The sequence below is a fragment of the Homo sapiens genome, chromosome 6, assembly GCF_000001405.40.
Source record: "Homo sapiens chromosome 6, GRCh38.p14 Primary Assembly".
Classification (NCBI taxonomy): Eukaryota; Metazoa; Chordata; class Mammalia; order Primates; family Hominidae; genus Homo; species Homo sapiens.
Window position 1 is genome coordinate 146816231 of NC_000006.12, and position 14632 is coordinate 146830862.

Genomic DNA, 14632 nt, shown 5'->3' on the forward strand with positions numbered 1-14632 from the left:
ACCTCCACCTCCTGAGTTCAAGTGATTCTCTTGCCTCAGACTCCTGAGTAGCTGGGATTAGGGGTGTGGCTACCACGCCTGGCTAATTTTGTATTTTTAGTAGAGACGGGGGTTTCACTAGGTCGACCAGGCTGGTATTGAACGCCTGACCTCAGGTGATCCACCCACCTCGGCCTCCTAAAATGCTGGGATTACAGGCTGGAGCCATGGCACCCGGCCAATTTCTGTAGAGACAGGGTTTCGCCATGTTTCCCAGGTTGTTCTCAAACTCCTGAGTTCAAGAGATCCATCCATGTCAGCTTGCTTCCCAAAATGCTGGAATTACAGGCATAAACCACCATGCCTAGCTTAAAAATATTTAATACTCCCATATATGGTCGACTAATTTTGGACAAGGATGCCAAAAATACACATGATGAAAGAAAATCGTTTCAAAAATGATGTTGGAAAAACTAAATATCCACATGCAAAAGAATAAAATAGGAACATTGCCCTATGCTGTATAAAAAAATTAAATAGATTAAAGATTTAAATGTAACATTGGAACTCATAAAACTCTTAGAAGATTGCCTACAAAAAAATCTCCTTGACATTGGTCTTGGCAATTTCTTTTGGAGATGACACCAAAAGCACAGGGAACAAAAGCAAACATAAACAAGTAGGACTACATAAAAATAAAAAGCTACTGCGCGACAAAGGAAACAACAAAATGAAAAGACAATCTATAGAATGGGAGAAAATACTTGTAAACTGTATATCTGATAAGGGGCTAATATTTAAAATATATTAAACTCATGTAACTCAATAGCAAAAAAAGCAAATAACCTGGTTTTAAAATGGGCAAAGGACTTGAATAAACACCAATCCAAAGAAGACACAGGAATGACCAACAGGTATATGCAAAGGTACTCAGCATCATTAACCATTAGAGAAATGCAAATCAAAACAACAATGAGGTATCACCTCACACCTGTTAAGATGGCTTTTATAAAGACAAGAGATAAGTGTTGGGGAGGGTGTGGAGAAAGGGAACCCTGTACACACTGTGGTGAGAATGTAAATTGCAATAGCCATTACAGAAAACAGTATGGAAGTTTCTCAAAAAATTAAAACTAGAGCTACCATATGATCTAGCAATCCCACTCCTGGGTATATATTAAAGGAAACGAAATCAGTATGTCTATGAGAGGTCTGCAACCCTCTGTTCATGGCAGCATTATTTACAATAGTGATATGGAAACAGCCTAAGTGTCCATCAATTGATGAATGAATAATGAAAATGTGGTATATATATATATAATGGAATATAATTGAACCATAAAATAGAAGGAAATCCTGCCATTTGCAACAACATAGATGAACCTGTAGGGCATTATGCTAAGTGAAATATGCCAGAAACTGAAAGAAAAATAATGCATAATCTCACTCACATGTGGAATTGTGAAAGTTGAACTCATAGAAGCAAAGTGTAGGACAGTGGTTACCAGAGACTTAGGGGTGAGAGAAATGGGGAGATGTTGGTCAAAGAGTACAAACATTTAGTTATAAGCTGACAAATTGTGTATCTCAGGCACAGAACGGATGGTGCCATCAGAATCAATAGTAGTAATTAAATTGAATATATTAATCATTATTCAGTGTATACATATATCAAACCATCATGTGGTATACTTTGAAAATATACAATGTTTATTTTTCAAAAAATTTTTTAAGTTTACATGAAAAAGTTAATATTTTATACACCTCCCCAGTTGTATATGTAATGTTACTTAATAAATGCAAATGTGCATTTTTACATTATTCTTTGCCTACTCTTAGCTTCACAACCTTATGACCCCAGCTCCCAAAGTACATACATAGAAACAACCTATTTTGAATGTTTCCATATTTTTCATTCATCTCATATGCTCACACCTCAATATTTTATATTATATCCTGGTTTGTTTTACAAAATGGCATTCTTTAAAGCATAATACAATGTGTCTTGCTTTTTCTCACCAAACAACACAGAATCTCTTGAAGTCACTGTTAATTCTTTTTAATTGTTATGAAATATTCCATGGTACAAATATACCATAATTTATTCATAAATTTATGAATTTTATATATACATATATGTGTCTGTGTGTATATATATATTCAGGTAGTGTGTGTATATATATATTCAGGATATTCAAGTACTAACATTAATATTATATATTCTTTAAGTTAGATAAAAATTCATCTGCAAACAATTTGTCATTATAATTTAAATGATGTATTTTTGATCAATTACTTTCTTTCAGATATTTTTTGCTATTATTTGTTTGATAGTTTTCACTTGCTTTCTTTTACTTTTCTTGCTGTGCCTTTTTTTTTTTTTTTTTTTTTTTTTGAGATGGGGTCTCCCTCTGTCTCCCAGGCTGGAGTGCAATGGTGTGATCTCAGCTCACTGCAACCTCCACCTCCCAGGTTCAAGTGATTTTCCTGCCTCAGCCTCCTGAGTAGCTGGGATTACAGGTGTGTGCCACCACGCCTGGCTAATTTTTTTTTTTTTTTTTTTTTTTAGAGACAGGGTTTCACCATGTTGGTCAGGCTGATCTCGAACTCCTGACCTCATGATCCGCCTGCCTTGGCCTCCCAAAGTGCTGGGATTACAGATGTGAGCCACCGTGCCCAGCCTGCTGTGTTTTTTAAACTATTACTCTTTAAGCTTTTTCTATTTCTGATTTTTGCTATTTTTCCAAAGCTCTGATAGTTTTTTTGTAGCTTATTTTGAATCATTATGTTACATTTTTCTTCTGATCAAAGCATACTTCTCTGGGATGTTTTCATTTTCTATTATTTGTTTCATTTTATCTCATCTTTAATAACAGATTTTCCCCCATTATTTAAGAGATTGAGTTTTATAAACTATTAGAAGCAGGTTCATATAAATGACAAAGAATCTAAAGGAACTCTCCCAGCTTTATGGATGGAGGATGCCCCACAATGAGAGACTGAGGCAAGAGTTTCATCAATGTCTCGAGATTTGTTAAGCTTGAGGGGGTGCCCAAAAAAAAAAAAAAACAAAAAAACACGAGTCACAGAAACATCTGTGCTTGTGTTCTCTGAAGGGGTTTTCAGGAAGTTCAATGTTTATACATTTCTTTAAAGGGGGGAAGGCATGTAGGAAGAGGCAGGTACGTGGTGAGGCAAATGGTTACATTTTTGTGAGATTTTAATCAGTGCCCATGAAATGCACATTTTATATCAGATAAGGTGAACATTCCAAGAACAAGGGAGTAAAGGAAGAATCAACCATGCAGACATCTCAGGTTAGGTGGAGGAATGATTGATCCCTTCTTGTATGTTCTGCACCTGGGAAGACAAACTTGTTATCGACATTGTCAGTGTGAATTCTAACAGACTTTAGTTTTCGGTACTAGACTTGGATTGCAGATCTAAAGTTGTAATTGACATGCCCTTGTTTTATGGGAACGTACACATTTTTGAAAGGTTTCCAGGCCAGCAAAGAACTCACCTAGGAACAGCTTGGACAGTGAAGCTTTTTGCCTTTCTGTGGGGTCTGACAAATGTACAATGCTTTGACACAAGGTTGTGAAGAACAAGCTATTCATTTGGGAAAAGAATGGCAGTGTTGCATGACTCAGCCTCCAGGCTCTCCAGGCTTATCTTTCCCTTTGGCGTAATGAGTTTGGGGGATCTGAGATTTTTATTTTCCTTTAGAGTTGTAATCATCAAAATATGGCCTGATTTCCCATTTCTCTGTCTGTCAGAGAAAATTCTGCTTTATGACAGATTTTGAGTTTTTTGCCTCTAAGCCTCTGTTTCCTAGATTTCTGTGGACCTTGGTTTTCAAGACAGTTCTATCTTTAGATATTTTTTCTCTTGCGGTAATCTGAATCCGTGACCCTTTGGTCTCAGCATTCTTTCTCCCCTTTCGCCAGCATTTTTCTCAGTTTGCTTACTTCTTCAAACGGTGTTCTCCTACTTTAAGGCAAGTTCTTCTGGATATTTCTTAGAGTTTCAAGTGGAATTTCATGGATATTAGGGTCCGTTGGTGGTTTTTGTGTTTTCACCTGTGCCAACCATACAGGTCTAAATGCTCAGATAATCCTGCTGATTGTCTTTATTTGGGCCACAACTACAGAGGCAGGATTTTCTTTTTCTCGGTCGCTTTGCAAGCCAGGGACCCCCAGCCAGTGATGCCCTACCTGGGCCGCTCTCGGGGATGATACTGTGCCCCAGCTCACCTGTGTTATAGCTTGTACTTGTGTTCTGTGGTTCCCAAGATCTTCTACTGCGCCCAAGAAGAATGAAGATGCACTGTACATTGAAGTGTGAGGAGGGTGGAAAAGAATTTTATTGAACGATGAAACAGGTTTTAGCGGAGAGGGGATATAGGGGTGGTTCCCCTATCTGAGGGCAGGAAAATCCCTCCCCTGTTGCTGGCTCTGGGGCCTCTTATGGACTCAGAATGGAGAGTGTGTGCTGATTGGTTTGTGAGTATGCAAAAAAGATTAAAGCGAAGACATCACTCAAATGTGGGCATGACAGTGTAGAAAACCAATTAGGAAAGGGTAGGTATATGTAAAATAGGTGAAGGGTGGGGATCAATCAGAGGAAAGCATGGAGGATTTAACCTGTAGCTTGGCTTTCAGGCTTTAAACTGTCTTTGGCTTCGAGGTGGGGTTTCACCAGGGGCCCGCCCCTATCTGCCTAGGCATTTGGCTGCCTCCTGCCACTCTCAATACCACTCTTGTTTATGGGAATTTCTTGTCATCTAATTTTGCTAGCAATTTATCTGAGTTTTGTTTTTTGTGGGGGGTGTGTGTGTACTTGCTTTGCCATCACAATTGTATTTATAGTTTTCAGGAGTAGTTTTGGGGAAAAGCAAAAATATGACACATCATTATCCTGCCACTAGAAGTGTGTTACTTATTTATAATTTTATTTGCTTATAATCAGACTACACGGTCCCTAGAATTTTTACTTCTAAAAAATTTATTAAGACTTTCTATGTAACTAAGTAGAGGTTTAAATGACATAAATGTGTAGGATGATCGTAAACTTTGCATATATATATGCAATAAGAATTGCTTGAAAAGAATGCAAATTTTAATTTTAGAAAAGCCTCATTTCCAAAATTTAACCGTGTATGTAGTTTTATGGAAAATTATATACAATGTTTTTCAAGTTTATTTTAGTCAAATATATTCATTATTTACTCTCTTTTTTTTAGTTTTAATCCACTTCATTTGTCTAGTTCTGAGAGGTATGTTGCAGAATTCAACAATACTTTTTCTTATTTTTTTGTTTTTGAATAATCTTTATCCTTTCAACTGTGCTATCATTTAAAAATATATTAAGCTAAAAGTAATAAAAAGGTCAGTTACAGCCAGGTGTCTCATGCCTGTAATCCCAGCACTTTGGGAGGCCAAGGTGGGTGGTTGGGAGTTGGAGACCAGCCTGACCAACATGAAGAAACCCCGTCTCTACTAAAAATACAAAATTAGCTGGGCGTGTGTGGCGCATGCCTGTAATCCCAGCTACTCAGGAGGCTGAGGCAGGAGAATTGCTTGAACCCGGGAAGCAGAGGTTGTGGTGAGCTGAGATCATGCCATTGCACTCCAGCCTGGGCAAAAAAAAAGTCACTTACTTTTGCTCAATTAAATAGAAGGATATTTATCTAACTTAATAAAAAGTTAGCATCTCAAAATCTAGAGCAAATATCTCTGTGGTAATATTGCCTTTCCTTCATCATCACAAAATGACTTGCAGCTCCAGCAGAGACATGTACAAGAATATTCATGGCAGCACAATTTATAATAGTCCAAAATTGGGGAAAACTCAAATTTCCATTCATTGTACAATGAGCACATCAACAAATCATGGTGTTTTTATATGACTAAATACTATGCAATAATCAGAATAAAGGAATCTCTGCTATTCTCCATACCATGGATGATTTTAATAAATATTTTATGCATTTAGATTTCAACACCTAGGAAAGCTGATCTGTGGTGTTAAAAGTCATAATAATGGTTAAATTTAAGGAGTAAATGGTATCAGGAATTGTCATTACAGGCCATTCTAGATGCTGATAATAATCTCAATACTGATATGAATGACTGTAACACAGGTAGTTTACTTTGTAAAAAAAAAAAAAAATTTTTTTTTTTTAATTTTTTGAGATGAAGTTTCACTCTGTCTCATGGGCTGGAGTGCAATGGCATGATCTCGGGTCACTGCAACCTCCATCTCCCAGGTTCAAGTGATTCTCATGCCTCAGACTCCCGAGTAGCTGAAATCACAGGTGCGCACCACCACACCCAGCTAATTTTTGTATTTTTAGTAGAGACAAGGTTTCGCCATGTTGGCCAGGCTGGTCTTGAACTCCTGACCTCAAGTGATCTGCCCACCTCGGCCTCCCAAAGTGCTGGGATTACAGGTGTGAGCGCCTGGCCTTCTTTGTAAATATTTATGGATCAGTAAACTTAAAATTTATTTACATATCTGTGTTTATGTATCTTTCAATAAAAAGTTTACATGATAAAATGATCAATGGAAAAGTTAAAACAAAGTATTACTGGATTTAATAACTCAATAATTAAGTTTAATAGCAGATTGTAGTAGTTGAGGAGACAATTATGAAGCTGTAAAGTCATCAAAAAGTAGTTAACTGACAAAACACATCAATCTATATGTTAAACATAAGATTAAATTTAAATGTTAATGGAATAATATTCTAATTAAAAACTTAATATTTAATTAACTAACATTTAATTAGAGACACAGGATTGAGAGATGAGTGCAGGTTGGGGAGTACTTCGTAGTGGGAGAATGAAGCTCAGAGAGATCTTGTGGCTTCTTCAGTTCAGTATGTTAAGGTGCCATATTATGGGGTATCATTTTCTGACCCCCAACAATGCAATGATTTTATTTCTGAAATATTCAATGAACATTAAAATTGTACAAAAAAAATACTTTGACTTTATATGTCTCACAGAATTAGATTCTTTGATTACTAACTTGCTTTTCAACTATACGAATGGTGGGCCATTCAAATCAAATAGAAGGTAAAACAATTCTCTGTTCCATGTGACTCAAAATGCATTTTGAAGACAGTTTTAACACCCCTGTGATTTCATCCCTGACCAAATCAATCAGCAGTTCCCATTCCTTAGCCCCCCAAACACCAAATCATCCTTAAAAACCCTAACCTCCAAATTCATGGGGAGGCAGATTTGAGAGATATTGCCCATCCTCCCCACTCAGCGGCCCTGCAATTATTAAAATTCAAAATGACAGGATGTCTAATAGTCTTGGTCTTCAACTACTAAATAGCAGTTCTCTCTTATTATTGGGACAACCACAAATGTCCCCATGTATTTCCTAAATATTCCCTAGAAGAGGCACTGTCTCCATGGAGAACATTATTCCCATGTAGAAGAATAGTAGAGTGCTGAGAAGCTGAGATAGTAATGTCTATGGATCACAGTTAATAAATGACTATTGGAATACATTGCCAATATACACATGTGCAATCATATTGAGTAAACCAGGGTATGTCTATAAAGCATGTACAGTTCCTACAATCCATAGGCCATTGTCTTTGGCAAAATATCTGGCCCCCCATTCAGTTTCTTTCTCTTTAGCCTCCTACAACCTACCTCTTTTCAGCCCTTCAAGTACTTCAAGATCAAGCTGTCCCTTCTCTGGGCTGGTATAAGGGCAGAGAAAACAGTGTTCTTGTTCTGAAGACATAGGCTTGCCTTTGAGATGATAGAAATAATCCCTGAGGCACAATTCTGGTGATAATGAAGCACCATTATATGGAGTAATTTAACTCCTCATCGCATCCAACAACTCCACTAAAAAATAGATTGTAGCTTCCCCTTTTCCACAATCAAAGTGCCCACTAAAGTGTTTTTGGAAATGTAACTGTCTTCATTTAAATGAATCTAAAAACGGCTGATAGCTTTAATAAACTTTTAACTGGCTTCTAGACATCAAGTTTTCAAACAAAACATTGAATTCTAGTCCTAGAGCCTCTCATTATATTTAGTTTGTTTGCACACAAAAAAATATGTGTGTAAACTCTGATCTGTTAACTGACATTTATCTTGTATTTCTGTCTTATTCAAAACAAACTCTTGCATTCATTTCCCCTTGAAAAACAGGGAAATAAAGAGAGAATTGGCAAAGAGAAACAAAATCCATGTTATGGCCCAGTGAGGTTCTTCTTGCCCACTGCATGGAAAACACCAATACACTGAGACAGTAGATGTTGCAGCAAAGAAATAATTTTAATAATTGCAGGGCCGCTGAGTGGGGAGGATGGGCAATATCTCTCAAATCTGCCTCCCCATGAATTTGGAGGTGAGGGTTTTTTAGGATGATTTGGTGTGTGTGGGGTGCTAAGGAATGGGAACTGCGATTTGGTCAGGGATGAAATCACAGGAGTGTCAAAACTGTCTTCATGTCCTGAGTGACTTCATGGGTGGGAGTCACAGAACCAGTTGAATCAGTTCTTTGGCATGGGTCATGGGTCTGGGTGGCATCAGTTGGTCTACCAGAATGCAAAGTCTGAAAAATATTTGAAAGACCAGTCTCAAGTTTCACAAGTTACCTGTAAGAGCAATTGGTGAAGTTATAAAATTTGTGAGCATTGGGTACAAGAATCCTGAGCAGTAAGCAATTATAAAAAAGCAAGCTAGGAAACAATGACCAGCTATTGTTTAACTATGCCTATATCTTAGCACAGTTCAAGCCCCCAACATAATTGTAACCTGTGGTCTTTCATTAGTCTGATATAGTCACTTTCAGTCCCCAAACAAGGAGGCGGGTAGTTTTGGGACAGGAATTATGCTGAATTCCTCCCATAGTTGGCTTGGCCTACATACAGGAATGAGAAAAGGCAGGTAGCTTGAGGTTAGAAGCAAGGTGGAGTCAGTTGTGTTAGACTTCTCTTACTGTTATAATTTTGCAAAGACAGTTTCACACGCGTCTTGCCACCTCCATCCCCTGGCTTGGGCCCTGCCCTGGGTGGGTTTATTTATACCAGATTAATAAAAGCTTTCAGTAACCTTTATAGAATATCTCTGAAAGTAACATTATGAAGAAACTTTGTTTCAAATTGTCATAAAGTATTTTGTCTAATCAATTATAAAACAGATTTTAGTCATTTTAATTTACATAAAACAGTTTCCAACCACAGATGTGTTTTTATGGAATAGCTTCATTACCTATTGAATGTGCTTAGAACTTTAAGCTAAACATCCTTGTTTTTTACTTTTTTGGTCAGGCACAGATGGCAGCATTACCACATGTATGATTTATTTTTGAAGTGAACTTATATAACAAACAACCCTACTATGCATATGTATATTTTCATAACTTTAAACAATTCTAAATTCAAATAAACCAAGCATTTTTAATTTATTTTGCTAATTATGAAAATTCACTTATCTAATCTGTAAATACCTTTTCCATCTGGTATATAACATAATGATACTCTTTACTGTCACTGTTAATCAAGCTGTTGATTTCAGAATCATCAATTCAGATAGCATCTGGGCATCTTTCATTCCATTGTAGGTGATTGATATATTCAGACAGATACAAAGAAACCTCATAAAAAGCTGTTTGACTTCATGGAAACACTCTAAATAAATATGTCACATAACAAAGACTAATCAGTTAATATTTAAATGACTAAATAATTTAAGTCATGACTATGGCTCATTGGTGACAACGGGCTAACTTTGTTAACATCACTATAACATTTTAAAGAGCTTGGAAAAACATGCTATTTTCACCAGAAAGTTTAAACTTGTGCAAATGTCCAAAACCATATTAGATAAAACCTGATCAATAACCATTACCTTAATAATACAAAATGGTTGCTATGAATTTATTCTAAAGGAACTCTGAAATATTTGTATATTTCTCTATGAATTTAGCTAATTTTTAGCTCAGTTACTCCTGGCGTAGCCTGTGCCCAAAGTCTGCATGTTTTATAATATGATGTGTGCAAAACAACCTTTGGAAAATAATATTAAAGCTTTTCTAAGAACCATCATTTCTTTAGCATATCATCTAAAGTCATTAAATTATTAATATTAGATACCATGAAAATAGTTCTTAGAATAGTCAACTAGAATGTAAAGACTAATTTCCAATTTATGAATCATACAGATTCTTTATGTTTACTTTTCCTTTTTCATTTATCAACATTTAAGTCACCTCATTAGTTATTTCTGGTTCCATAAAGACAAAGATGAAGAAAACATGGGAAAATTCAAAGGGCTGAATTTGTAATTTGCAGATATGATACACACTTTCTTGAAAGAAGTTCACATTCCTAATGAGCTGCTCATAAGTCATTTGCAGATTTCAGTAGCCTTTAGTCTTCAGTACTCTTGGTGCCACAATATTGACTGATAAGTTTTATTTTTTCAATTGTGTCATTATTGTTTAACTAGATTGTCACACTAAAGACCATTTTTATAATACTTTGTAAAAGATTTCATTTTAATGAGCTATAATCTCGAGTGTAAGAAACAACTATATCATAATTGTTAGGTTTCTTTTTTTTGTTTTTGAGACGGAGTCTTGCTCTGTTGCCCAGGCTGGAGTGCAGTGGTGTGATCTCAGCTCACTGCAAGCTCCACCTGCTGGGTTCATGCCATTCTCCTGCCTCAACCTCCCAAGTAGCTGGGACTACAGGAGCTTGCCACCAGGCCCGGCTAATTTTTTTGTATTTTTTTAGCAGAGACGGGATTTCATCTGTTAGCCAGGATGGTCTCGATCTCCTGACCTCATGATCCGCCTGCCTCGGCCTCCCAAAGTGCTGGGATTACAGGTGTGAGCCACTGCTCCCAGCCATTGTTAGGTTATTTTTAATCACGCATAGAACCTAGCCCAAAACCTCACAGAATAGGCTTTTGATAGAATATGGTTGAATATATTAAGTATTTGCATTGTTTTAACTATTAGGCTGCTGTCTAAAAGGGGCTATATCAAAACTTATGATCATTATCAAAAATCCATCATATTGGTCTTCAAGTGAAGATATTGAAAAACACAGTTTACAGGACTTTACAAAAAGATTCACATTCTTAAGAGACTGTGATAATGCCAGATGGCAGATTGTCAACAATGATATTTTACAATGTTTACAGAAGTCATGGATCATATTCTAGTAGAAACAGCTTTATTTTCCAAATAGGATTCTAATTTATACACCACTAAGGCAAACAGGGAGTCACTGATCTGGAAGCTCATAGTCATGCCGTTAAAGTGAGATGGTTCCAAATTTATGACACTTTATATTTTTTACCTGTTCCTTTGGCCACAATGGTGTCCCTTGTTTTTTACCTGCTTCCCCCACACGTATCTAATATAGAATGTTGGACCTGGGAATAAACAACACTTTCATTCAGAAAGGGGAGGAATGGGAGACGGCACTTAGCAGTTCTGAAATCCCTCAGGGTAGACATTGTGAAGGCCTCATCAGGAGGTGGTGACAGGCCTTGATCAGGTCTGATTCCGTATTGTAACAGCTCCTCTCCATTCAGTTGGTCTCCATGCCCCCAGGTCCACCTTCTGAGAATGTCTTCTTGCTGTTATACTCACTGGTTACATTGGAAGTGGCTGTTTGAAAATATGTCCTTGGAGGCTGACCAGTGTTTGCAGCCTGGTTTCTCATAATTCATATAGGTCTGTTGTATGTAGATATAAAGTAATAAGAGGTAGGAGAATAATTGTGGCCACAATAAAAATATCAAAGACAGTTAAAATAACAGAAAGCAGTGGTTTCCATTGTCACCTTCTCAGAAGCCTGTGACTATTTTAACAGACTTTTTTTTGGTTGCCTTCTACTTCACATCCCTTCCACTGTTTTTTTAGTAGCAGAAATGAGATGGAGTAGAGAGTCCCATTTTAGGGCCCTACAGGCCACCCCAGCATAGAAAAGACGGAAAATCTTGAATTCCTTCAAGGGAAATTCCAGGCACCTAGTTAGCCCTGAGAAGTAAATAAGTAACCTGATTAGCAAAACAGCAATAATAGCCTCAAACAATAGCCAAGGAAGTTTGGGTCCAGATGTGTTTGGTTTCCTATAGAAACTAAATATAGCATTTTAACATATGTCCCATAGTTGTCTTTCAGAAAACCAGCCTCCCACCGAGATCCCCATAAACGGATTCACTGGCACATAAACCCTAGATAAGGAGGAATTGAACACTAAGCTCTGACCACTGTAATTTGTTCTAAATTTCTTCCTGAGGAGTTTGGAGGGAGTCACACACCCAGGCTAGTTAACACTTTTTTTTTTCTGCTGACCCCAAATTTTTAAACAAAGCTTCTCTCTTCCTTCACAATTAGAAGTCAGAAAGTTTTTGAATGTACCTACCACCTATAAGCCCCCCTTCAACATATCCCACCCTTTTAGGCCAAAACCAATGTGTAACCTCCATATATTGATTTATGGTTTGGCCTATAGTTTCTGCTTTCCTGAAATTTTCCCCTGCCTTTAAAAACTGTTACTGCCAAGCCATCAAGGAAGTCAAAATTTGAGCATTAGCTGCCTGGTCTTACTTGCTTTGTACCTGTAAATAATAATGCCTTCGTTTCTGTCTCTGCAAAAACCTCTATGTGGATATCTGGTTTTACTGCACCTGGCAAGTGGACCCCAGTTTTGTTCGATAACAGCAACAAAAGAGCCGAAGCTGAGTCATAAGCAGCATCTCAAGGAGGCTGTCCATTAAATTAGTATCACTTCTATCCTTTCTGGTTTGGGTGTTTTTTGTTTTTTGTTGTGTTTTTTTTTTTCCCAAACCTATGATTTACTCAAATATATTTCCAATGGCTTTTTTTTCTTAAGTTTAACCAGAGTTTGTTTCTGTTATATAAAACCAAAGAATCAAAATTGACACACTCAAATCCAACTTTGGTTTCCACTTCCTGAAAATGGTCCACATTAGAGATTTTGAAACTTAAAAGAGACACCTCAAGAGTTCTGAGAAAAAACATCCATACTCCAGAGCAAAGGTTCTTAACCTGGGATCTTTGGATGAGATTCAGGTAGCACCTAAACCTCCCACAATTGTACTTATTTTCTTTTATAGAAATTCATAGCTTTCATCAGGTTCTTTTTTAAGAGGGGTTGGGGGACAGGGTCTCACTCTGTCACCCAGGCTGGAGTGCAGTGGTATGATCTCGGCTCACTGCAGCCTCAACCTCCCAGGCTCAAGTGATCCTCTCACGTTGGCCTACTAAGTATCTGGGGCCACAGGTGTGCTCCACCACCACTCCTGGCTAATGTTTGTATTTTGTGTAGAGACAGGATTTCACTATGTTGCCCAGGCTGGTCTCAAGTTGGGGTCAAGTGGTCTGCACACCTTGATCTCTCAAAGTGCTGGGATTACAGGTATGAGCCACAGTGCCCAACCCTCATCAGGTTCTTAAAGAATATGTAACCATAAAATACTGCTGTTCTGGAAATTTAGTTTTCAAATAGCATAAGGAAGTACAACAATAAAAGATTTTCATCTAGTGAAATTTTTTTTTTGAAGAATGGCTTAATTACTTGGAGAAATTCACTTGGAAATAATTAAAGCTATTTGATATTAGAATGTATCTATAAACCAAAAATAAAATTCTAAGCTCCCCAATCAATTAAATGGAACCCTCCTCTCAGCCAGGGTCATTCTTAACTTAACCTGAAAAGCTAGTTCAGGTCATGAGGGGATATGGGGATCAGACATACCTCATTATATTCTCCTCCCATTGGAATTCAGGCACAGCTGACTAGCATTAACATTAAAACAGAGATGTTAAGACTTACAAAGTCAACTCTTTGTAGCAATAAGATGCCAACATGACAGATAGCAGGCCCTAAAAGAAATCAAAGTATTTTACCCCAAAATATATTTCTTTGGTATATTTTGAAATGGCCCTGCAAAGCTGCCTCTTGTGGGGAAAATCTAAATTCTGTAGTGAATCTTCTTCCCTTTCCAGGTCTTTTTCCAGAAGAGAATTAACTAAGAGTCTGGCACCTTTTTAAGTCTGATAAGAAACATTTGCAATCAATTCTCCCTGAAGCCCGCTACCTGGAGACTTCATCTACATAATAAAAGCCTCCATCTCCACAATTTCTTATCTTAACCCAGACACTCCCTTCTACTGATTCCAGGTCTTTAGAGAAACCCTTTCAACCAATGGCCAATCAGGAAATCTTCAAATTCACCCATGACCTGGAAGCCCATCAACCAGTCCCTCTTTGAGTCCTTCCACCTTCTCAGACTAAACCAACATACATCTTATATGTATTGATTGATGTCTTGTGTCTTTCTAAAACATATAAAACCAAGCTGTAGCCCAACCTTGGGCACGTGTTCTCAGGATCTCTTGAGTCTGTGTCATGGGTACATCCTTAACTTTGGCAAAATAAACTTCTAAATTAATTGAGATCTGTCTCAGATACTTTTTGGTTTACATATCTACAAAAGATATTATGAAATTTATTTCTCTGAAGGTCCTGAAATATAATGTAAATTCTTTGGTTTAAATTTGTCCTCCTTGAAAAGACTGAGTTGGTTATCTTGGGAATTTTGAATACTTTCCAGTCCTATGCTTCAAGATT

General features: G+C 37.2%; 1 annotated feature.

Annotated features, from left to right (window-relative positions):
- Positions 13583-14350: an enhancer, noted in NCBI's record as "NANOG-H3K27ac hESC enhancer chr6:147150949-147151716 (GRCh37/hg19 assembly coordinates)". NCBI's record gives its function as "activates a minimal SCP1, AML or CMV promoter by ChIP-STARR-seq in naive H9 embryonic stem cells {active_cell/tissue: H9 hESC(naive)}" and the evidence as "EXISTENCE:reporter gene assay evidence [ECO:0000049][PMID:30033119]".